General features: G+C 40.5%; 2 long non-coding RNA genes and 2 pseudogenes across 2 annotated transcripts in view; 2 read left to right on the top strand and 2 right to left on the bottom strand.

Moving 5' to 3' along the window:
• The window catches only part of SPIN4-AS1 (SPIN4 antisense RNA 1), a 68,502-nt gene extending 49,933 nt beyond the window's left edge, over positions 1-18,569 (bottom strand). The window contains exon 1 of the long non-coding RNA NR_046739.1: positions 18,367-18,569. This is a non-coding gene — a long non-coding RNA (SPIN4 antisense RNA 1). The remainder of the gene's footprint in view (positions 1-18,366) is intronic.
• CBX1P1 (chromobox 1 pseudogene 1) lies at positions 2,371-4,567 on the top strand (annotated as a pseudogene).
• Positions 20,246-21,838, bottom strand: LOC100533730 (endogenous retrovirus group FRD member 1, envelope pseudogene; annotated as a pseudogene).
• LOC105377212 (uncharacterized) overlaps positions 24,610-26,142 on the top strand; it is a 54,563-nt gene continuing 53,030 nt past the window's right edge. Inside the window, exon 1 of the long non-coding RNA XR_001755867.2 lies at positions 24,610-24,818. This is a non-coding gene — a long non-coding RNA (uncharacterized LOC105377212). The remainder of the gene's footprint in view (positions 24,819-26,142) is intronic.

Genomic DNA, 26,142 nt, shown 5'->3' with positions numbered 1-26,142 from the left:
ATACTCTTCTCTGAAGAAGCCCTTTACTTAAAATAGATCCCATTTTTCTGCTTTTGGTGCAATTGGTGTCTTAGTCATGAAATATTTGCTAGCGCCTATGTCCAGAATAGTATTGCCTAGGTTGCATCCCAAAGTTTTTATCCTTTTGGATTTTACATGTAAGTCTTTTATCCATCTTGAGTTTAATTTTGTATATGGTGTAAGGAAGGGGCCAAGTTTCAATTTTCTGCATATGGCTAACCAGTCATCCCAGCACCATTTATTGAATAGAGAGTCATTTCCCCATTGCTTCTTTTTGTCACCTTTGTCAAAGATCAGGTGGTTGCAGGTGTGGTCTTATTTTTTGGCTCTCTGTTCTGTTTCATTGGTCTATGTGTCTGTTTCTGTTCCAGTACCATGCTGTTTTGGCTAGTGTAGCCCCCTAGTATAGTTTGAAGTTAGGTAATGTGATACTTCCAGCTTTGTTCTATTTGCTTAAGATTGCCTTGGCTACTTGAGCATTTTGGGTTCCATATGAATTTTAAAATAGTTTTTTTCTAGTTCTGTGAAGAATGTCACTTATAGTTTGTTAGGGATAGCATTGAATCTGTAAATAGCATTGGGCAGTTTGGCCATTTTAATATTGATTCTTCCTATCCATGAGCATGAAATTTTTCCATTTGCTTGTGTCATCTCTGATTTCTTTATAGAAGGCAGAAAAAAGAGTGAAGCTAGCATATCTGGTGAAAGAAATATCTAAGTAGCAAAGCATTCAGTCTGCTGTATGGCTACTTTTAACTGCTTATATAAAATAAGAGAGGAAAAAGATAATATAAAAACAGAATTTATAATTTTAAAAGAAAGCATAGTAGAAAGAATTAGAAAATTTGCAGCCTAGTCATATGGTGGAGAATGAAAGAGCATTTTTAGTAGAGGAAACCAAGAGTGTGACCAAGTGAACTATTGATAAGATTAGTATGGATAGAAAAAAGCCAGGGGCTATTCATCAGAATAGTGGGAGAAAACCCTAAGATATTTCAGAGATATTTGATGTGGCCCCTCCCATCACAGGCCCAGAGCTCTAGGAGGGCAGAATTTATTTAGGGGATGGGTCCCTGCTTTAATTGTCTCAGGTGTCTGCTCCCAGCATTTCAGAAATGCAGCAGTGTTCAGCCACCCCAGCTATGGCTCAAATGGCCTCAGGTGGTTTGGCCTGCTACTCTGAAAGGTGCAAGTCATAAACTTTGGCAGCATCTATGTGGTGCTAATACTGAAGATATGCAGAATGCAAAAACTGTCGGAGGATGGATTTCTTCATTTTGATTTCAAAGGATGTCACAGACAGCCTGAGGAGCAAGGAAGAGATGTCACAAAAGAAAAGACACCAAAGAGAGCCTTCACCAAGGCAATGCCTAGGGGATCCATGGGAGCAAGGCCATTGCAGGGAGTCCCCACTAGCATAATGCCTAATGGAGTCTTGGGAGCAGCACCACCACAAAGATCCCAGAATTACGGAGCTATTAATGTGCAAAGCCAACTCAGGAAGGCTTAATTGTGGGGTGAGTCCAGCAATGTGGTGTGTGTGGGGCTTCCTTAAGGCCTTGAGGTCACAACACCCACACCAGTGTGCACAGGATGTATGTGTGCAGTCAAAGGAGATTATTCTTTGGCTTTAAGACTGAATGTGTTTTTTCCTGTTGGGGTTTGGACTTACTTGAGACTCGTAATTATTTTCACTTTGCCCATTTTCCTTTTTGGAATAGGAATATCTGTCATATGTCTGTCCAACCATTTTATTTTTGAAATAGATAACTTGTTTAATTTCACAGGCTAACAGCTGGAAGAAATTTGCCTCAAGATGAATTGTGAATTGAGTCTCATTCATATCTGATTCAGATGAGACTCTGAGCTTAGGACTTTTGAGTTGGTGCTAGAAAGAGTTAAGACTTTGGGGCTATTGATGTAGAATGAGTGTATTTTGCATGTGAGAAGGACATAAATATTGAGGGGTGGGTTAGAACGCAATGGCTGAAATATGTCACAAATATCCTGTGATGGAAACTTAACCCTCAAATTCATATATTGATTGGAGGTAGATCCTTTGGGAAGTAATTAGTATTAAATACAGTTGTCAGGGTGAGGCCTTCATGATGGAACTGGTGCCTTTGTGAGAACAGAAAGAGAAACTGAACTGACATGGACATTCTTGCTCTCTTTCCATGTGGTGCCTTTCACCATATCACAACACAGCTGGAAGGCCCTCACCAGATATCAACACCATGGCTCTTGGAGTTCCCAGCCTCCAGAACCATAAGCTAAATGAACTTATTTTCTTTATAAATTACCAAGTCATAGGTATTCAGTTATAGCATAGAAAATGGACTAAGACAGGTTCGGCTGAGGGGAGGGCCATTGGCTGGGGCCTGCGGTATGCCGCTTCAGTGAGGGACTCCACTGTGGCCACCCGGCTTGCTGCCTTCCGGGGCGCCACTCCCCCAGGTGACTCGACGTGACACGCCAGTAGCACAGCACTGATTCCTCTCGGGCTCTTGGGCGCTGCTCTGAGCAGCGTCACCCTTTACACCAGAAACCTGGCGGGCACTATGGGGAAAAAAACTAAACAAGAAGAAAGTGGAGGAAGTGCTAGAAGAGGAGGAAAAGGAATATGTGGTGGAAAAATTTCTCGACCGTGGAGTGGTAAAGGACAAAGTGGAGTACCTCCTAAAGTGGAAGGGATTCTCAGATGAGGATAACACATGGGAGCCAGAAGAGAACCTGGATTGCCTCGACCTCATTGCTGAGTTTCTGCAGTCACAGAAAACAGCACATGAGACAGATAAATCAGAGGGAGGCAAGCACAAAGCTGATTCTGATTCTGAAGATAAGGGAGAGGAGAGCAAACCAAAGGGGAAGAAAGAAGAGTCAGAAAAGCCACGAGGCTTTGCTCGAGGTTTGGAGCCAGAGCGGATTATTGGAGCTACAGACTCCAGTGGAGAGGTCATGTTCCTGATGAAATGGAAAAACTCATGAGGCTGACCTGGTCCCTGCCAAGGAAGCCAGTGTCAAGTGCCCACAGGTTGTCATATCCTTCTATGAGGAAAGGCTGACATGGCATTCCTAACCCTCGGAGGATGATGACAAAAAAAATGACAAGAATTAACGCTCTTGAGTACCAGCCCCTGTCACATCTGACTGTGGGTTTCAAGTGGGAAGGGAAGGAGTTCGACTTGTCTTGACACCATAGAGGTGGCTTGAGAAGATGTCCTTTGAAGAGCCAGTATAGTTTCTGTGCCCTGGAGCAGCCCAAGTGCTTTAAAGCCGTTTCAAGCTGTATAGTTTGCACACCCATCCCAGTGGAGGGGAAAGGGGATGTTTCAAGGCAACCTTTCCTGCACTTTGCTGTAAAAAGCAAAGGGCCTTCTATGAAGGACAAAACTTGCAGAATTGGGTGTGTGGGAGAGCAAAAAAATACTGTAGATCTTCAAAGAGCATCTCCACAACACACAGCCTTCTTCCCAATAGCGTTAACTCTGCATTTTTACAGTGTAGCATGTGTGTAGTTTTTGGCTATTACTGGTGTATTATTTGGGGGAGGGAGGGATGGGGAGGGGAGAAAGGGAGATGGGTAGTATCATTTAGATTAACATTTGGGGCCTGATAGGGGAAATGGTGAAGCAATGGAAAAGAACAGACAACTAATGATTTGCTTCTATGTCCAGAATATTTTACCTTTAAAAAAAATGTCATTGGCACCATAAATAAGGACTGTGAGAGACTGTTTAAAAGCTGTGAATGTCTGAAACCTATAAGCCAAGGTGTTCCCTGCCTAAACTTATTGCTGTTCCCACAAAGGACTAAGCCTGTTCATAAGTTACCAAAGTTGCCATTTTGGAGATGGAAATTGACAAGGAGGGAAGGTCTTTTATTGGAGAGTATACAGTACAAGCAGATCATTCTGTCTTAGAGGTGCTAATTCCTGAAATTAGAAGACCCTTTCTTTTCCAGTAACGAAGTTATAAATATCAGCTTGTTCATCCAAGACACTGGCTGAGGTGTTAGGGAAGAGGAAGAGGGTGGTAGAGGAGATAAGACAGTAGGGAAAGACAAGGGCCCATGCTTTTAGTGGGGAAAACTCTTGGAGCCATTTTTAGTGGGGAGAACTCTTGGAGCCATTCTCTTTTTTGAGCTTTGAACACTGAAACCATTGTTGGCAGGGTTCAGTCACTGACAGCACAAGTTTCACCGAATTGATCCAAGAGTTTAGTGATTTCAAAAGCCTTGGTCTCAGAAGATTAAACTTTCATATTGGGCAGTGGTTCCCTTTAAAACACACACACACACACACACACACACACACACACAGACACACACAAAACAATTTTTTAAGAAATCCTAAGAAGTAACATACCCAAAATGCTCTGTCTTGAGTCGTGAGATCCATCAGTTCTTGATATTGTCTAGACTTGCATCTAGAGCTACATTGTAAAATTCTTTTAGGCATGTGTTAGATTTCTGTGTAAACTTTGTTTAAATGTAAACTTCATACTACACTGTCAGTTTTTGTCTTAATAAAACTATAGATTTATAATCCCTGAAAAAAAAAGAAAATGGACTAAGACAACCATTTAATATAATACTTCATGTGTTGTTTACTAATGTCTTTTATCAAGTAGAGAGTCTTTCCTGATATTCCAAGCTTGCTAAGAGATTTTATAATGAATGGGTACTGTATTTTGTCTTATGTCTTCTCTGCATCTATTAAGATGCTCATTTAATATTTTTGCTGTGTAGTATTAAGGTGTCATGTTTTATTAATTAAATTTGAGGCAATTAATGCAACCATGCATTACTATAATTAATATAACTTGACAATGATGTATTATTTTCTGTATATACTATTTAAATCCCTTTATATACTGATGTGTTATTTTCTTTACACACTGTTGTATTTTGTTAAAGATTGTCATCTCTATTAATGAAGGATATTGAAGTGTAGTTCTCCTTTGACATGCCTTAGTCTGGCTTTGGTGTCAGGATGATATTGGCCTCATAAAAAGAGTTGAGAAATATTCTGTACTCATGTATTTTTGAAAAAAGTTTGTTGAGTAATGGAATTGTTTCTTTACATATTTCATAAAAGTCACCAGTGAAAACATATAGTCTTTGACTTTTCTTTGGGCTGAGATTTTTAATATCTAGGAAAATGTCTTTTTTATCTCTGTTATTTATAATAATAATAATATTATTATTATTTATAATATTATTTTATATTAATTCCTGAGTCATTTGGGGTACAGTAGTAATTTTGTAGAAGTTAGCCTATTTTCAAAGTTGTTTAGTTTATTGGCATAAAGTTGCCCATAGTATTTATTCCCTCACACTTTTAATTTCCAAAGGGCCCATGGTAATATCTCCTTTGATTTCTAACTTTTATAATTTCTTTATTTTTCTTCTTAGTCTAGCTAAAGTATTGTCAATTTTGTAGATATTTTCAAAGAGCCTACTTTAAGTTCAATCAATTTCAATGTTTCTATGATCTCTATTTAATATTTTTTTGGAGTAATTTATGTAATTTTCTTTTTTTTTGCTTGTTTTTTGTTGGTTTCCTCTTTTTTCCATAATTTTTATGTTAATGCTTAGATTTTTTTATTTCATTTTAAAAAATAATTTTAACTTTTATGTAGGATACAGGGGCTACACATAAAGGTTTGTGACATAGGGTATATTGTACTCAGGTAGTGAGCATAGTACACAATAGGTAGTTTTTCAACCCACATCCCCTTTCCTCTATCCCACTTCTAGTAGAATACAATGTCTATTTTTCCCATGTTTATGTACATGTGTGCTTTATCTGTAACTTTCACTTATAAATGAGAACATGTAGTGTTTAGTTTCCTGCACCTGTGTTAGTTTGCTTATGCCTTCCACCTCCATCCATGTTGCTGCTAATGACATGATTTCATTTGTTGTTACTGATGCATAATATTCCATGGTGCATATGTACCACATTTGCTTTATTCAATTGACCACTGATGGACACCTAGGTTCATCCCATGTCTCTGCTATTGTGAATAGTGTAGCAATGAAGGTACAAGTACACGTGTCCTTTTGGTATAATGATCTATTTTTCTTTGGGTATGTACTTAGTAATGGAATTTCTGGATCAAATGGTAATTCTGTTTTAATTTTCTTGAGGAATCTCCAAACTGCTATCCAAAGTGGCTGAACTAATTTACATTATCACAAACAGTGTATAAGCATTTCATTTCATATCCAGCTTCATGAACATCTTGTTGCTTTTTAACTTTTTCTAATGGCCATTTTGACTGGTGTGAGACGGTGTCTCATTTTGGTTTTCATTTGCATTTCTCTGATGATTAGTGATATTGAGAATTTTTTGATAAGTTTTTGGCTGCTTGTATGTCTTCTTTTGAGAAGTGTCTGTTCATGTCAATTTCAATTTTTAATGGGGTTGTTTGTTTTTTCTTGTTGATTTGTCATCTATAGATTCTGGACAATAGGACTTTGTAGGAATGCATAGTTTGTGAATATTTTCTTTCATTCTCTATGTTGTCTATTTACTCTGTGGATAGTTTCCTTTGCTGTGTAGCTCTTTATTTTAATTAGTTCTCACTTGTCTATTTTCTGTTTCTGATGCAATTGCTTTTGGGGGCTTGGGCAAAAATTTTTTGTCAAAGCCAATTTTATTTTTTAATTTTAACTTTTATTTTAAATATAGGGAGTACAGGTGCAGGTTGTTACATGGGTATATTGTGTAATAGCATCTATTTTTTAGTCAGTTTTATAGAATCTGCAAATTTTTCTAGTTTTTTTCATCAACTTTTATTTTAAGTTCCAGGATACATGACCATGGTGGTCTGCTGCACAGATCAACTCATCACCTAGGTATTAAGCCCAGCACCCACTAGCTATTCTTCATGATGCAATTCATCTCCCCAACACCCAACAGGCCCCAGTGTGTGTTGTTCCCCCCATATGTTCATGTGTTCTCATCATTCAGCTCCCACTTAAAAGTGAGAACATGTGGTGTGTGGTTTTCTGTTCCTGGATTAGTTTGCTGAGGATAACAACTTCCAGCTCCATCCATGTCCCTGCAAAGGACATGATTTCATTACTTTTTATGGCTACATAGTATTCCATGGTGTATATGTACCACATGTTCTTTATCCAGTCTATCATTGATGGACATTTGGGTTGAGTCCATGTCTTTGCTATTGGGAATAGTGCTGCAATGAACATACACGTGCATGTATCTTTATAATAGAATGATTTATATTCCTTTAGGTATATACTCAGTAATGGATTGCTGGGTCAAATGGTATTTCTGCTTCCTTATCTGTCTTCAATAATGGTTGAAATAATTCATACTGTCACCAGCAGTGTAAAAGCATTACTTTTTCCCTGCAGCCTCACCAGCATCTGTGGTTTCTTGACTTTTTAATAACTACCATTCTGACTGGCAGGAGGTAGTATCTCATTGTGGTTTTGAATGGCATTTCTCTAATGATCTGTGATGTTGAACTTTTTTTTCATGTTTGTTGGCCACATGAACATCTTCCTTTGAGAAGCGTCTGCTCATATCCTTAGCCCACTATTTAACGGGGTTGTTTTTTTCTTGTAAATTTGTTTATGTTCCTCTTAGACTCTGGATATTAGACCTTTGTCAGATGCATAGATTGCAAAAATTCTCTCCATTTTGTAGGTTGTCTGTTCATGCTGATGATAGTTTCTTTTGCTGTGCAGAAGCTCTTTCATTTATTTAGATCCCATTTGTCAAATTTTTCTTTTGTTGCAATTGCTTTTGGTGTTTTTTTCATGAAAACTTGAATGGTATTACCTAGATTTTATTCTGGAATTTTTATTGTTTTTGGTTTTACAATTAAGGCTTTAATCTATCTTGAGTTAATTTTTGTATATGGTGTAAAAAAGGGGTCCAGTTTCAATTTTCTGCCAATGACTAGTTCTTCAAGCACAATTTATTAAATAGAGAATGGTTTCCTCATTGGTTGTTTTTGTCAGGTTTGTACAAGATCAGATGGTTGTAGGTGTGCAGTCTTATTTCTGAGTTCTCTGTTTCGTTCCATTGGTCTATGTGTCTGTTCTAGTACCAGTACCATGCTGTTTTGGTTACTGTAGCCTTGTAGTATAGTTTGAAGTCAGGTAGTGTGATACCCTCAGCTTTGTGCTTTTTTAAAGCCAGTGTTAAGAAGGGTATTTCCTAGGTTGTTTTCTAGCAATTTTGTAGTTTGAGGTCTTACATTTAGATTTTTGAACCATTTTGAATTAATTTTTTGTATATGATAAAAAGTAGGGCCCAATTTCTATCTCCCACCTGTGGCTAACCAGTTATCCCAGAACTATTTACTGACAATTTTTTTTCCTCACTGCTAGTTGTTATGAGGTTGTCAATGAACAGATGGTTGCTAGTGTGTGGTTTTATTTCTGAGGTTTCTATTGCCTTCCATTGGTCTATGTGTCTGATTTTGTACTAATACCATGCTGTTTGGGTTATAATAGCTTTGCAGTGTAGTTTGAAGTTGGGTAGTTTGGTTCCTCCAACTTTGTTCTTTTTACTTGGGATGGCTTTGGCTGTTCAAGCCCTTTTTTGTCCCTTGTAACTTTTAGAATCTTTTTTTTCCTACTTCTATAAAGAATGATGTTGATAGTTTGATAAGAATAGCACAGAATCTGTAAATTGCTTTGGTCAGTATTGCCATTTTATTAATATTTATTCTTCCAATCCATTGACATGGAATTTTTTTCAATGTATTTGTGTCATCTCTGATTTGTTTCAGCAGTGTTTTGTAGTTCTCTTCGTAGAGAACTTTCACCTTCTTGGTTAGCTATATACGTAAGTATTTAATTATTCTTTGTAGCTATTGTAAATAAAATGGTGTTTTTTATTTAGCTCTCAGCCTAGACATTATTGGTGTATAGAAGTGCTACTGATTTTTCTACACTGATTTTTTAAATCCCAAAACCTCACTAAAATCACTTATCAGTTCTACTAGCCTTTTGACAGAGCCTTGGGGCTTTTTCAGATACAGAATTATATTGTCAAGCAAGAGAGATACTTTGACTTCTTCTTTTACTACTTGGATGTCTTTTCTCTCCTCTTGCCTGATTGCTTTGGCTAGGATTTCAGTACTGTGTTGAATAGAAATCATGAGTGGGGCCATCCGTGTCTTGTTCCAGTTTTCAAGGGAAATGAATGGTTCCAGCTTTTGACCATTAAGTATGATTTTCGCTGTGGGTTTTTCATAGGTGAATCTTATTATTTTGAGGTATCTTCTTTCAATGCCTAGTCTACTGAGGCTTTTTATTATTGGGTGAAGTTAGACTTTATCAAAAGCTTCTCCTCCATCTTCTGAGACAATCATTTGGTTTTTGTTTTAATTCCATTTATGTAGTGAACTGAATTTATTGGTTTGCATGTGTTGAACCAGCCTTCCATCCCAAAATAAGGCCTACTTGATTATGGTGAATTAACTTTAATGTGCTCCTAAATTCAGTTTGTCACTCTTTTTTTTTTTTTTTTTAGAAATTTCATGTCTATATTTATCAATGATGTTAACCTGAAGATTTCTTTTTCCACTGTGTTTTCCCCTGATCTTGATATTAAGTTGATGCTGGCTTCATAGAATGAGTTAAGGAGGAGTCCCTCCTCCTCAAGATTTTGGAATAGTTTCAGTACAATTAGCATCATTTGTTTGTACTTCTCTTAGAATTCAGCTGTGAATCCATCTGGTCCAGGGTTTTATTTGATTGGTAGGTTTTTTTGGTCCTGATTCTATTTCAGAGCTCTATATTGGTCTATTAAGACTCTCTACAACTTCCTGATTCAATATTGGAAGATTGTGTGCTGTCAGAAATTTGTGCATTTCCTCCACATTGCTTAATTTGTGTGCACAGAGTTCTTCATAATATTCTCTGAAAATCTTTTGTACTTCTCTGTGACAGGTTGTAATGTCATCTTTGTCATTTCTGATTGTACTTATGTGAATCTTCTTTTTCTCTGTTGCTCTAGGCAGTGGTATATGATCTTTTTTTTCTTTTTATAAGAACCAACTCTTGATTTCTTTGATTTTTGTATTTGTTTTTGCATCTCAGTTGCATTCAGTTCTCTAATTTTGGTTATTTTTTACTTTTAGCTTTTGGTTTTTAAAAATTCCTATAGGTGCTGGAGCCAAGATGGCCAAATAGGAACAACTCCAGTCTACAGCTCCCAACATGAGTGACACAGAAGACGAGTAGTTTCTGCATTTCCAACTGAAGTGCCAGGTTCATCTCACTGGGGAGTGTCAGACAGTGGGTGCAGGACAGTGCGTGCAGCGCACGAAGCATTACTGAAGCAGGAAGAGGCATTGCCTCAACCAGGAAGCCCAAGAGGTCAGGGAATTCCCTTTCCTAGTCAAAGAAAGGGGTGACAGATGGCATCTGGAAAATTGGGTCACTCCCACCCTAATACTGCACTTTTCAAATGTTCGTACCAAATGGCACACCAGGAGATTATATCCCGTGCATGGCTCAGAGGGCCCTATGCCCATGGAGCCTCACTCATTGCTAGCACAGCAGTCTGAGATCAAACTGCAAGGCAGCAGCAAAGCAGGGTGAGGGGTGCCCACCATTGCTGAGGCTTGAGTAGGTAAACAAAGCAGCCAGGAAGCTCAAACTGGGTGGAGGTCACCGCAGCTCAAGGAGGCCTGACTGCCTCCGTAGATTCCACCTCTGGGGACAGGGCATAGCCAAACAAAAGGCAGCAGAAACCTCTGCAGACTTAAATGTCCCTGTCTGACAGCATTGAAGAGAGTAGTGGTTCTCCCAGCATGCAGCTTGAGATCTGAGAACAGACAGACTGCCTCCTCAAGTGGGTCCCTGACCCCTGAGTAGCCTAACTGGGAGGCACCTCCCAGTAAGGGGCAGACTGACAACTCACATGGCTGGGTATTCCTCTGAGACAAAACTTCCAGAGGAACGATCAAGCAGCAACATTTGCTGTTCACCAATATCTGCTGTTCTGCAGCCTCCGCTGCTGATATCCAGGCAAACAGGGTCTGGAGTGGACCTCCAGCAAACTCCAACAGACCTGCAGCTGAGGGTCCTGACTGTTAGAAGGAAAACTAACAAACAGAAAGGAAATCCACACCAAAACCCCATCTGTATGTCACCATCATCAAAGACCAAAGGTAGATAAAACCACAAAGATGGGGAAAAAACAGAGCAGAAAAACTGGAAATTCTAAAAATCAGAGCCCCTCTCCTACTCCAAAGGAATGCAGCTCCTCACCAGCAACGGAACAAAGCTAGATGGAGAATGACTTTGGCAAGTGGAGAGAAGAATGCTTCAGATGATCAAACTACTCCAAGCTAAAGGAGGAAGTTCAAACCCATGGCAAAGAAGTTAAAAAACTTGAAAAAAGATTAGACGAACAGCTAATTAGAATAACCAATGCAGAGAAGTCGTTAAAGGACCTGATGGAGCTGAAAACCACAGCATGAGAACTACATGATGAATGCACAAGCCTGAGTGTTGATTCAATCAACTGGAAGAAAGGGTATCAGTGATGGAAGATGGAATGAATGAAATGAAGTGAGAAGTTTAGAGAAAAAAGAAAAAAAGAAATGAAGAAAGCCTCCATGAAATCTGGGATTACGTGAAAAGACCAAATCTATGTCTGATTGGTGTACCTGAAAGTGACAGGGAGAATGGAACCAAGTTGGAAAACACTCTGCAGGATATTATCCAGGATAACTTCCCCAATCTAGCAAGGCAGGCCAACATTCAAATTCAGGAAATACAGACAATGCTACAAAGATACTCCTTGAGAAGAGCAATTCCAAGACAAAAAATTGTCAGATTCACCAAAGTTGAAATGAAGGAAAAAATGTTAAGGGCAGCCAGAGAGAAAGGTAAGGTTACCCACAAAGGGAAGCCCATCAGACTAACAGATGATCTCTTGGCAGAAACTCTACAAGCCAGAAGAGAGTTGGGGCCAATATTCAACATTTTTAAAGAAAAGAATTTTCAACCCAGAATTTCATATCCAGCCAAACTAAGCTTCATAAGTGAAGGAGAAATAAAATCCTTTACAGACAAGCAAATGCTGAGAGATTTTGTCACCACCAGGCCTGCCCTAAAAGAGCTCCTGAAGGAAGCACTAAACATGGAAAGGAACAACTGGTACCAGCCCCTACAAAAACATCCCAAATTGTAAAGATCATCAAGACTAGGAAGAAACTGCATCAACTATTGAGCAAAATAACCAGCTAACATCATAATGACAGGATCAGATTCACACATAGCAATATTAACCTTAAATGTAAATGGGCTAAATGCTCCAATTAAAAGACACAGACTGGCAAATTGGATAAAGAGTCAAGACCCATCAGTGTGCTGTATTCAGGAAACCCATCTCACGTGCAGAGACACACATAGGCTCAAAATAAAAGGATGGAGGAAGATCTACCAAGAAATGGAAAACAAAAAAAGGCAGGGGTTGCAATCCTAGTCTCAGATAAAACAGACTTTAAACCAACAAAGATCAAAAGAGACAAAGAAGGCCATTACATAATGGTAAAGGGATCAATTCAACAAGAAGGGCTGACTCTCCTAAATATATATGCACCCAATACAGGAGCACCCAGATTCATAAAGCAAGTCCTCAGGGACCTACAAAGAGACAGACTCCCACAAAATAATAATGGGAGACTTTAACACCCCACTGTCAACATTAGACAGGTCAACGAGACAGAAAGTTAACAAGGATATCCAGGAATTGAACTCAGCTCTGCACCAAGCAGACCTAGTAGACATCTACAGAACTCTCCACCCCAAATCAACAGAATATGCATTCTTTTCAGCACCACACCACACTTATTCCAAAATTGACCACATAGTTGGGAGTAAAGCACTCCTCAGCAAATGTAAAAGAACAGAAATTATAACAAACTATCTCTCAGACCACAGTGCAATCAAACTAGAACTCAGGATAAAGAAACTCACTCAAAACCGCTCAACTACATGGAAACTGAACAACCTGCTCCTGAATGACTACTGGGTACATAACGAAATGAAGGCAGAAATAAAGATGTTCTTTGAAACCAAGGAGAACAAAGACACAACATACCAGAATCTCTGGGACACATTCAAAGCAGTGTGTAGAGGGAAATTTATAGCACTAAATGCCCACAAGAGAAAGCAGGAAAGATCTAAAATTGACACCCTAACATCACAATTAAAAGAACTAGAGAAGCAAGAGCAAACACATTCAAAAGCCAGCAGAAGGAAAGAAATAACTAAGATCAGAGCATAACTGAAGGAAATAAAGACACAAAAAACCCTTCTAGAAATCAATGAATCCAGGAGCTGGGTTTTTGAAAAGATCAACAAAATTGATAGACCGCTAGCAAGACTAATAAAGAAGAAAAGAGAGAAGAATCAGAATCATCAGAGAATACTATAAACACCTCTACGCAAATAAACTAGAAAATCTAGAAGAAATGGATAAATTCCTCGACACATACACCCTCCCAAGACTAAACCAGGAATTAGTTGAATCCCTGAATAGGCCAATAACAGGCTCTGAAATTAAGGCAATAATTAATAGCTTACCAACCAAAAAAAGTCCAGGACCAGATGGATTCACAGCCAAATTCTACCAGAGGTACAAGGAGGAACTGGTACCATTCCTTCTGAAACTATTCCAATCAATAGAAAAAGAGGGAATCCTCCCTAACTCGTTTTATGAGGCCAGCATCATCCTGATACAAAAGCCTGGCAGAGACACAACAAAAAAAGAGAATTTTAGATCAATGTCCCTGATGAACATTGATACAAAAGTCCTCAATAAAATACTAGCAAACTGAATCCAGCAGCACATCAAAAAGCTTATCCACCATGATCAAGTGGGCTTCATCCCTGGGATGCAAGGCTGGTTCAACATACACAAATCAATAAACGTAATCCAGCATATAAACAGAACCAATGACAAAAACCACATGATTATCTCAGTAGATGCAGAAAAGGCCTTTGACAAAATTCAACAACGCTTCATGCTAAAAACTCTCGATAAATTAGGTATTGATGGGACATATCTGAAAATAATAAGAGCTATCTATGCCAAACGCACAGCCAATATCATACTGAATGGGCAAAAACTGGAAGCATTCCCTTTGAATACTGGCACAAGACAGGGATGCCCTCTCTCACCACTCCTATTCAGCGTAGTGTTGGAAGTTCTGGCCAGGGCAATCAGGCAGGAGAAGGAAATAAAGCGTATTCAGTTAGGAAAAGAAGAAGTCAAATTGTCCGTTTGCAGACGACATGATTGTGTATCTAGAAAACCCCATCATCTCAGCCCAAAATCTCCTTAAGCTGATAGGCAACTTCAGCAAAGTCTCAGGATATAAAATCAATGTGCAAAAATCACAAGCATTCTTATACACCAATAACAGACAGAGAGCCAAATCATGAGTGAACTCCCATTCACAATTGCTTCAAAGAGAATAAAATACCTAGGAATCCAACTTACAAGGGACGTGAAGCACTTCTTCAAGGACAACTACAAACCACTGCTCAATGAAATAAAAGAGGCTACAAACAAATGGAAGAACATTCCATGCTCATGGGTAGGAAGAATCAATATCATGAAAATGGCCATACTGCCCAAGATAATTTATATATTCAATGCCATCCCCATCAAGCTACCAATGACTTTCTTCACAGAATTGGAAAAAACTACTTTAAAGTTCATATGGAATCAAACAAGAGCCTGCATTGCCATGTCAATCTTAAGCCAAAAGAACAAAGCTGGAGGCATCACGCTACCTGACTTCAAACTATACTACAAGGGTACAGTAACCAAAATAGCACAGTACTGGTACCAAAACAGAGTGATAGACCAATGGAACAGAACAGAGCCCTCAGAAATAATTCCACATATCTACAACTATCTAATCTTTGACAAATCTGAAAAAAACAAGAAATGGGGAAAGGATTCCCTATTTCATAAGTGGTGCTGGGAAAACTGGCTAGCCATATGTAGAAAGCTGAAACTGGATCCCTTCCTTACACCTTATACAAAAATTAATTCAAGATGGATTAAAGACTTAAGTGTTAGACCTAAAACCATAAAAACCCTGGAAGAAAACCTAGGCAATACCATTCAGGACATAGGCATGGGGAAGGACTTCAAGTCTAAAACACCAAAAGCAATGGCGACAAAAGCCAAAATTGACAAATGGGATCTAATTAAACTCAAGAGCTTCTGCACAGCAAAAGAAACTACCATCAGAGTGAACAGGCAACCTACGGAATGGGAGAAAATTTTTGCAATGTACTCATCTGACAAAGGGCTAATATCCAGAATCTACAATGAACTCAAACAAATTTACAAGAAAACGTCAAACAACCCCATCAATAAGTGGGCAAAGGATATGAACAGACACTTCTCAAAAGAAGATATTTATTTAGCCAAAAGACACATGAAAAAATGCTCATCATCACTGGCCATCAGAGAAACGCAAATCAAAACCACCATGGGATACCATCTCACTCCAGTTAGAATGGCGATCATTGAAAAGTCAGGAAACAACAGGTGCTGGAGAGGAGGTGGAGAAATAGGAACACTTTTACACTGTTGGTGGGACTGTAAACTCGTTCAACCATTGTGGAAGTCAGTGTGGCGATTCCTCAGGGATCTAGAACTAGAAATATCCTTTGACCCAGCCATCCCATTACTGGGTGTATTCCAAAAGGATTATAAATCATGCTGGTATAAAGACACACGCACACGTATGTTTATTGCGGCACTATTCACAATAGCAAAGACTTGGAACAAACCCAAATATCCATCAATGATAGGGTGGATTAAGAAAATGTGGCACATATACACCATGGAATACTATGCAGCCATAAAAAATGATGTGTTCATGTCCTTTGTAGGGACATGGATGAAGCTGGAAACCATCATTCTCAGCAAACTATCGCAAGGACAAAAAAACAAACACCGCATGTTCTCACTCATAGGTGGGAATTGAACAATGAGAACACATGGACACAGGAAGGGGAACATCACACACCGGGGACTGTTGTGGGGTGGGGGGAGGGGGGAGGGATAGCATTAGGGGATATACCTAATGTTAAATGATGAGTGAATGGGTGCAGCACACCAACATGGCGCATGTATACATGTGTAACAAACCTGCATGTTGTGCACGTGTGCCCTAAAACTTAAAGTATAATAAAAAAAAATTCCTATAGGTGCAAAGTTAGACTGTTAATTTGCATATTTCTAACTTCTTGATGAATGTGCTTAGCACTATAAACATTCCTCTTAATGCTGCTTTAGCTGTGTCTCAGAGATTTTTGTAAATTGTTTCCATATTTTCATTAGTTTCAAAGAATTTTTTAATTTCTGCCTTAATTTTGATATTTACCCAGGAGCTATGTAGAAGTTGCTTAATTTCTATGTGTTTGTGTAGTTTTGAGAGACCTTCTTGATACTGATTTCTATTTTTATTGCACCTTGTTTGAGATTGTGCTTGGTATGATTTCAGCTTTTTTGAATTCATTGAGACTTGCTTTATGACCAAGCATGTGATTGATCTTAGAATATGTACTGTGTGCAGATGAAAAGGATGTATATTCTGTGGTTGTTGGGTGGAGTGTTCTGCAGATGTCTGTTAGGTCCAATGAGTCATGTGTCAAGATTAAATCTAGAGTTCTTTGTTAGTTTTATACCTTGATGACCTCTGTCTTATGCTGTCAGTGGGGTGTTGATTTCTTCCACTGTTGCTATATGGTTGTCTAAGTCTTTCTGTAGACCAAAAAGAACTTGCTTTTTAAATCTCGGTTCTCAAATGTTGGGTGAATATACATTTAAGACAGGTAAGTTTTCTTGTTGGATTGTACCCCTTAATGTTATGCATTTCCTTCTTTGTCTTTGTTTTTTATTGGTTTAAAATATGTTTTATCTGATACAATAATAGTAACTCTTTTTTTTTTCACAGTCCATCTTTCTTCACCCTTTTTCTCTGAGTCTGGTTGTGTCATTATATGTGAGATTGGGCTCTTGAAACTAAGAAATGGTTGCATCCTGTCTTTTATCCAGCTCGCCACTCTACATCTTTTAAGAGGGGTGTTTAGCCCATTTATTATTCTGGGTTAGTACTGATATGTGAGATTTTGATCCTATCATTGTGTTAGCTGGTTGTTATGTAGACTTGATTGTGTGGTTGCTTTATAGTGCTTGCTTTATGTGCTTAAGTGTGTTTTTGTGGTAGCAGATGTCATTCCTTTGATTCCATGTTTAACACTCCTTCAGCGACTCTGATCATCCTCACTGCTCATTATATGCTGATTATAATGCAGTAGCATCCTAAAAGACACTCCCACCAGTGCCGTGACAATTTACAAATGCCATGACAATGTTAGGGAGTTACCCTATATTCTCTAAAAAGAGGAGAAACACTCAGTTCCAGGAATTGTCCACCTCTTTCCCAGAAAACTCATGAGTAATCCACCCCCTGTTTAGCATATAATCAAGAAATAACTTTAAGTATACTTAGTTGATCAGCCCATGCTGCTGCTCTGCCTATGGAATAGCCATTCTTTATTCCTTCACTTTCTTAATAAATTTGCTTTCACTTTATCTATTCACCTTGAATTCTTTCTTGCCTGAGATCCAAGATCCCTCTCTTGGGGTCTGGATTGAGATCCCTTTTTGGTAACAGATAGGCTCTTAGTGCATGGCTCCTTTGTAGTTCATAGTGTTTTCAGCTCTGGTATTTGGTGCAGTGGTGAGAGAGGTAACCTCCTCTCTGGGTACACTACTGGGCTTTGAGGGTGCACCCTCCAATCACTGGCACTGAGACCATATTTATTTTGTTAGGTATTCCAGGATGTGGGGTTCCCTCAAGCAGAGTCCACAGCATGGTTATAGGCCCCACCTCTTCTGGGCTGCCCTTGTGGAAGAAGGCAGGCCCCACTCCTATGGCAGCCCATGAGTCCATGAAACTCACTCCTATCCATGATCTGACATTGTAGGCTCCTCTTTTCACTTGAGTACCAACGACATATTTCAGCTCCACACTCCCAAGCTGGGAACCACAGCCCTGGGGTGAGCTCAGGTGTTTTTGTTCCCTCCCCAGCTTGGGGCAACTCTGGTGGGGTCTATGGTGGTGGCAGTGGCAGAGGGCCTGTCAGGTTGACTTGAGTGGGTGTGGCTCCATCCCAGAGAAATCCAGAGCCACAGCTGATTGGAGTAATTACCCAGGGAGGGGAAAGCTGTGTTCTGGTCCCAAACTGGGGGGCCCTGCCTGTCAAAGAGCAGAGGGGGAAAGGGGCTCCTGGGAAAGACAGTCTCACCTCCTCTCCTTAGAGCCGTGTACTGATGGTGCAACCAAAACAATCAGACTCTTCGTTATGTCCCCAGCCCAAGGGCAGCAAGGGCAAGGTGTCATGGCAGAGGAGCTGTCAGTTGACTCTGGGAACTCCACCTCAGAGAACTACAGAACCTGCTGCTGGATCTGGGATGATCAGCTGAAGGTGGGGTGGCTGTGCTGCAAACGCAAGCCAGAGATCCCTGCCGGGAGAAGAGCAGGAGAGTCAGGAGTTTCCACAGAAGATAGTCTGGCCTCCTCTGCATAGGGTAACTGTAGCATGCAGTAAGCACATGAAAGCAATTAAGATGTTTGTTCCTTCTGTAGCCTGGGGGAAGCAAGGGTGGTTACCGCAGCAACTGCAATGGCCGAGGGCTTGTCTGTTACCTCTTGGAGTTCCCTCTCAGAGAAATGCAGAACTACAACTGGCTAAAGTAGTGAAGTGGGGATGGGATGGCTTCACTGGTACCACAGGCCACTGGGCTTTGCCTCCTGGTGCAGCAGAGGTAGGGCCCTAAGCCTGTCTGCTCCTCAGCACTATGGTTGCAGCCCTTATTCTGGGGCGTGTGAGAGACTCTGGCCTCCCTTTTTGGCTGGCTATGACAGCTGGTACCAGGCTTCTCAGGGATCCAAAGACTGTGAAGCTCAATGTGTTCTTGAGTGGTGGCTCTGCCCAGACTTCAGACAGTTGACTGTGCCATTCTGGAGGTGGGCATGAGGGCATGGGGTGTAGGGGGATGGGCAAGGTTTGAGAGTTCTCCTGTGCCCAGGATTGCAAAGGTCCATGGCAGAAGTGTGGGTCTTCAGGGGCTCTTAGTCACTCACCCTTTCCCCATGGTAAGTAGCCTCCCCTGGCTCTGTGCCAAACTTGGGTGGGCAGCTGTCTTGCCTTGCTCTTCTCTGCTCTCTGAGGGCAACCAGTGCTTCTATCATGAATCCCACCTTGGCCTTCTGGACAATCTACTTGAACAGCTAGTGTTTACTTGCAACTTTGTCTCATCTCCCTGAGAGCAGTGCACATTAGCTGCTTCTAATCAGTCACCTTGGTGCTTCTGTTTTTTCTCTTCTAATATAGGCATTTAAATTGCTTTAGTTGTATTCCATTAATTTTTATATGTGCGCGATGACTATCTAGGCCAGTGGCATGAGGGAAACAGAATTTACCAAGACAGTTGTAGGCAGTGAAAGGCAGATTTATTAGAGAAAGTATGAAAATATGTTGCAAGAAGGCAATGGGCCGTATCAGTAGGAGGGAGCTGACTGCCAGGAGACAGAGGCTTGCTGAGGATTTTGTAGAATGGAACTTGGAAACTTGCATTCTTCTGTCAGCTGGGATGTTTAATAAATTGAGTTATTTGATGGTAATCAGGAAGTTTGTGAGTTATGTATGTTATTTGCTCAGGGGGGCTATATGTCCTGGGTCATAAAGAAAAACAGACCTACAATTCATCTGCTTCCTCTTTTTGTTTATATATCTGGAAGCAGGAAGAAAGGCATAGTTATAGCTTATTTGCTTTATCTCTTTGCTTTCACCTGCTCCTGCCAGCCTGACTCGTTTTTCCTAATTAGGACGCCACATTTCCTTCCTCACAGAGTAACAATGACAAACCTTTGGCATGTGGATATAGGTCTTATCTTCCAACTGCTTCCTGCTGACCAGGGGTGTAGAGTTGTCTCTATCAAGTATTGTAACTCAGTTAGGACATTACATGGGCCTAAATCCTTGGGTTGGGAGTTAAATTTGGCAGAGTTGTTGTGAGACCAATGGGGAACAGCATTTGCAGCCTAAAATTTTAACCTGCTGCATCCAAAGGAGAGTTATGGAGTTCTTTTAGTGGCCAATATCCTCACTACAGTAATATGTTGGTTTGAATTTGTTGTATTCTATAAGACACAAATTTGAGTAGTAAATTTAGGATGCAAGGGATGAAAAGAAGGAATAATAAAATGCCTGTTTTTGGCCCCAGGAATAAGAGCAACCAGGACAACGATCTCCAAGTAGATGCCCATTAATACCATCCTTGTGACACTTTTTTCTCAATTTCAGCCTCTAGCTCCCTGAGGTGTTTGACATGAGCCCACAGTATTTCTGACTGATTAACATAAATGCAACATTCTTTTTCAAACGCTAAACATATGTCCTCTTGGGCTGCCATAAGCGGATTTAGGCCACAGCAGTTTTGGAGAACAATTGTTGCTAAGGAGTCGACCTGATTTTGGAGGACTTCCAAGGTCTCAGAGACGCATTTGAGCTCAGTGGCAAGTTCGATTGAGAGGATATGATAAGTATGCACTGCGAGGCTCATACCTTTTATTCTCATACCCAATCCAGTGACAATGCCTGTGCCAGGCAGTAAGGGAATTAGATAGATTGGCCATTTTGCCCTGCTAGGACTGTAAAGCATGATTGGGAAGGACTAATTGGAAGGAGCAATTTGGGTGTCTGGGGCCAAGTAAACTAGCGTATGTGTTCCAGCCCAGTTGGCTGGAAGACAAACATAGGCATTGGTTCGGCAAAGGAAGAATGCTCTCTCAGATATAAGGCAAGAGAATAGAGTTACAGTGAAGAAATGGAGTGTGTTTCGGCCTTCTGACCTGAAGAAGTATTGAGTAGCTAGCATAGTAATTGTAAGAGGTTGTGAGGTGTAGATGTTACAATTTGCATTTGGGTGGGTTTTGTTTTCCCTAAACAAATGGATGTGTTGTATGCCTGGAGACATCTGAGATTTGGGGTTGCTAAGTGTGAGAATTTGTAGGTAATTATTAGGGGAATTTTCAACCTTTAAATTTTGCCACGGAGTTAGGTGAGAACAAGTGTCTGGAGAGGAGTGATCTGTACAGAAGTGAGAGTTTATATTTTGGAGATTTGGGACATTGGGATCGGCTGGGCCTGATATTCTAACTGGTACCATATTATGTTTTTCCCTTGGTATGTATTTTCTGTTGGTGTGATTTATACATATGGTGTAGTTGCAAAGGGGCTTAGAAACATCACCCATGGGGTTGGAGTAATGTTTGTTGTCTGTTGCTTTAAGGCAAATAGCTTGATGTTTAAGTTGTACTTATTTAAAAAGGGGGGCTACAACAGGGTGTTTGAGTCTACGGTTGTCTCTTGGGTTAGAGGACCAGTCCTTTGAGGGGGTTGTTATTTTTAGCTTGGTCGTGTATTGGCTTAAATAGGCAGAGAATGCAGCTACCATTCCACATGTGTTTTTGGGGTTCCATGGAAGTTGGGGGAACAGGAATTTGGAGAGCAGGATGGTATTAAAATGGATCTAATACTGAGTATAAAAAAGTGAAGAAGCATACCATTTGAGGGCTAAGGGTAAGCAAAGCCAACAATCTTTTGTACACAGAGAATGTTGTTTCTTTAATAGCTTATGGGCCCCTGTAAGTAGGGTGTAATCCAGGAAGATTGGCAAAGTAAAGTTCATTGTAAGTGTTAACACTAAGTGTAGAGATATCCAAGTAATGAGGATGAAGCCTGACAAGTTAAAAGCGACAAAATATAGTGAAGTCAGGGACACAGGAAAGGAGAAGGGCTATAAATTGTATAAGAAAAATAGTTAGAAAACCACTTTAGTACCACAGCACATCATCATTGTGGTGTGGTGTATATCAGATTACTAGAACAAATATAAAGAAATTTCATCTGGGTGGTAATCTAGAAGTCCTCCTGCAAATAGCAATCATATACTACCTCCCTTGTGAAAGCATTAATATTAAGAGGGTAAAGCTGCCTAAGTTAGGCAGTTGAATAATTGCTTAGAGCCTGTAGTAGAATTGAATAAAAAGAGTAATCTCTAACAATAAGATTTAAAAGAGACATTGGGCTAATTTCCATCAACCTTAAGGGAAGGTCAAAAACTCGAGGTTGCTGCAGTGGCCAGGCAAGGGTATGATGGTGGGGTTATTAGAATACTTATTCTTAAAAATGAAGTTTAATGGCAAAGGAGAATGCTATTCCATCCAGACGGAAGAAGACAGATAACGCGCAGAACAATGAAAACGATGACCATGATGCAGCCCACAGATTCAATTAAGAAGCCAGGAAAAATTAGGTTCATTGATTTTAAGGAAAATAAAGGGAGTAAGGAAAAGAAACTCCTGGTCTTCCACGGTGGTTCATGCCTGTAATCCTAGCACTTTGGGAGGCTGAGGCGGGCGGGTCATCTGAGGTCAGGAGTTCAAGACCAGCCTGGCCAACATGGTGAAACCTCGTCTCTACTAAAAATACAAACATTAGCTGGGCATGGTGGCGTGCACCTGTAATCCCAGCTACTCAGGAGGCTGAGGCAGGAGAATCACTTGAACCAGGGAGGCAGAGGTTGCAGTGAACTGAGATCGTGCCATTGCACTCCAGCCTGGGCGACAAGAGCAAGACTCTCCGTCTCAAGTAAAAAAGAGAAAGAAAGAAACTCCTTTAAGGTGGAGTTGAGAATTAGGGTTAATATAACCTGAGTCCAACTTAGCCTCTGAGTTTTGTCTAAACAGATGGAGGGCTCTGATTGGCTCACAGCTGTGTGTAGTGGAGGGCTCTTCATTTGGTGCCTGAGCAGCTTTGACCCCTGGAGTGGTGGATCCATGGGGACCTTGGAGCTTTACAGATGTTGGGATAGTAAGAATAACTTGATATCACCCAGTTCAGACAGGTTCTAACAGCCTTTTGACCTGCAGGAGAGTTTAAAGACATACCCAGTCTCCAGGTGTGAATTTAGAGTGTATCTTTCCTGAAAAGGAGGGATCGGGTTTGGGGCTGTGGAGATTTTGGTAATGGCCAATGGCTTTAATGGTCTGTCCAAGAATTATAACATATTGTGTGGGATAATGATTTTCTGGCTCTAACAAGAGGTCTGTTTGTAAGAAGGGTCTTCCATAAAGAACTTCAAATGGGCTGAGATGGGTTTCTGATTTTGGGGGTATAAGGGACCTTAAGAGGGCAATAGGGAGCAGAGCTGGCCATGACTGTTGGGTTTATCAGTTTTGTAAGATGCCTTTTTATGCTTTGATTGGCTCTTTTACCTTTCCAGAGGATTGTGGATGTCAGGCTGCTTGAAACTAGTATTTGATTTGAAGGGTCTTAGCAACTTCTTGGGTTATTTGAGAAATGAAAGCAGCGCTATTGTCTGACTGCAGTGAGTGAGGGAGCCAACAATGGGGAAGAATGTGGTTCAAAAGGGCCGTGGTGACTTCTGATGCCATGCCTGTTCAGTTTTGATGCGAAAGGCTTCTATCCACCTGGCGAAGGTATCTACAAAGATTATCAAATATTTAAGTCCCTTGCATGGAGGCATGTGTGTAAAATCTAGCTGCCAGACTTCTCCTGGTAGGATCCCTAATCTTTGAATGAGTTGGAGGAGAGGGGGAAGTTTGTGGGCCCCTTCAGGACTGGTTTGGCAGCAGGTGGGGCAAGGCTGTGAGATGGATCTTAAAGTTTATGCTATTCCTTTACCGATAAACAGTGACCATATTAAGTCTTGGAGGGCTTTAGCCCCTAAATGAGTTGATTGGTGTAAACTGTTTAAAAATTTTCATTGTGAGGCTCCTTGGAGCAAAAGTTTGCCATTAGGGCTTTTTAGCCAGCCCTCCGAAGTATGGGAGAAGCCTTTCTCTAGAGCCCTTTGGGTTTATTCCTGCATATACAGTGGAGACAGTTGAGTTAGGTTAGCAACTAAAACTGCCTAAAGAGGTAGCTTAGTAGTCACTCTTGCTTGTTTATCAGCCTGATTGTTCACAATAGAGATTTTATCATTGCTTCTCTGATGGGCTTTGCAGTGAATGATAGCTACCTGTGCAGGAAGCAAAATTACCTCTAACGGGGCCATGATTTCAGGAGCATGTCTAACTGGAATATTTTGGGCTGTTAAGAGTCCCTTTTCTTGCCAAATGGCTGCATGGGTATGTACTACATGAAAGACGTAGGTCAGTCTGTGTAAGTATTAAGTTTCATGCATGCTCCTAATTGCAAGGCTCAGGTAAGGGCAATAAGTTCTGCCTTCTGGGCTGAGGTGGTGTCACAGGGTAGGGGCCCAAATTCTGTAACTTCAGTAAGGCTAACAATAGCATACCGTGGTAACTGGGTACCTTCTAACATGAAACTATTGCTGTCTATGAACCAAGTGGCCTCCCAATTGGTAAGGGGAATATCTTGGAGGTCAAATCAGGAGCTACAAATTAATTCAATATTTTCTTTCTTTCTTTCTTTTTTTTTTTTTTTTTTCTGAGACAGGGTCTTGCTCTGTCGCCCAAGCTGGAGTGCAGTGGTGCAATTTCAGCTCACCGCAACCTCTGCTTCCTGGATTCAAGCTATTCTAATGCCTCAGCCTCCCAAGTAGCTGGGACTACAGATGTGTCACCATGCCAAGCTAATTTTTATATTTTTAGTAGAGATGGGGTTTCACCATGTTGGCCACGCTGGCCTCCAACTCTTGACCTCAGGTAATCCACCTGCCTAGGCCTTCCTAAGTGCTGGGATTACAGGTGTGAGCCACTGCGACCAGCCTTAAATCAAGAGTTTCTAAGCAAGAGTGTTTAAGTGATCCTTCCACATTTGGATCTGGTAACAGGATGGCATGATTAAGAACTTCACACTGCTTAATGTTTAATTGTGGTGTTTGTAGAAAGAGGGTTTGATATCTTCTTATTTGATTTGAGACTCAGTGAGAGCCCTTTGAGTTTAAAGTATCCACCATTTGGTGTGGGGTATACACTGTTATTCCTTGGCCTCAGCTTGGAGGCCTCCTCAATCAATCGGGCCACAGAGGCTAGTGCCGGGGGAATGGAGGCCAGCCCTGTGTCACCAAATTGAGGTTCTTTGATAAGTAAGCTACTGGTCATTTGGAGGGCCCCAATGGCTGGATTAAGTCTCCAAGGGCGATACCCCTTCTTTCAGGTACAAATAAATAGAAAGTTTTTCTAAGGTATGGTAAGGTCAAAGGTGGGGCAGTTGTAAAACTTGTTTAATGGGTTTTAGGGTTTTGTTCATTTCAGAGTTCCAGTAAAGGGGTCTTCCTCTGGTCCCCATAGTGTCTCATAAAGAGGGTTTTGCTATGAGTCCAAATTGGGGAGTCCAAATATGACAGAAACTTGGCATTCCCAAGAAGGAGTGCAACTGTTGTTTAGTTGCTAGTGTGCCCATGTTTAAGATGAGGCTTTCACAGTGATCAGAGAGACTTTTAAACCCTGGGGTTAGTGTGAGTCTCAGAAATTGCACTTCCAGAGAGGAAATTTGAGTTTTAGAAGGAGAAACCTCATAACCACAGGAAGATAACCTCTAAAGAGTTTTAATAGCATTTAGATATTCTAAGATTAATAGTATTTAATACCTTCAGTTGGACTGCAGATAAGCAGGTGGTCAACATATTGGAGCAGGGTGCTATTAAGGGATAGCTGAATGGTGAACAGATCTTTGGCAAGAGCCTGTCCAAATGGTTGTGAGCTATCTCTAAATCCTCAGGGGAGGCCTGTCCAGGTTAATTGTTGGGAGGTATGAGTGGAAGGATCTCGCCATTCAAAGGCAAATAAAAATTGTGAATCTGAATGTACTGGAATGCAAAAGAAAGCATCCTTTAAGTCTAATACTGTGAACCAAAACTGCCAGAAGGAATTTGTCCTAACAGGATGTAAGGGTTCGAAACAATGGGGTGTGTAGGAACTACTGGATCATTGATGGCTCTTGGGTCTTGTATCATTCTATAGGTGCCTTCTGGCTTTTGACAGCTAAGGTGGGTGTGTTACATGGTGAATTACAAGAGTGAAATTA

The sequence above is a fragment of the Homo sapiens genome, chromosome X, assembly GCF_000001405.40.
Source record: "Homo sapiens chromosome X, GRCh38.p14 Primary Assembly".
In the NCBI taxonomy this organism is placed as follows: domain Eukaryota; kingdom Metazoa; phylum Chordata; class Mammalia; order Primates; family Hominidae; genus Homo; species Homo sapiens.
This window is presented reverse-complemented; position numbering and strand designations above follow the sequence as displayed.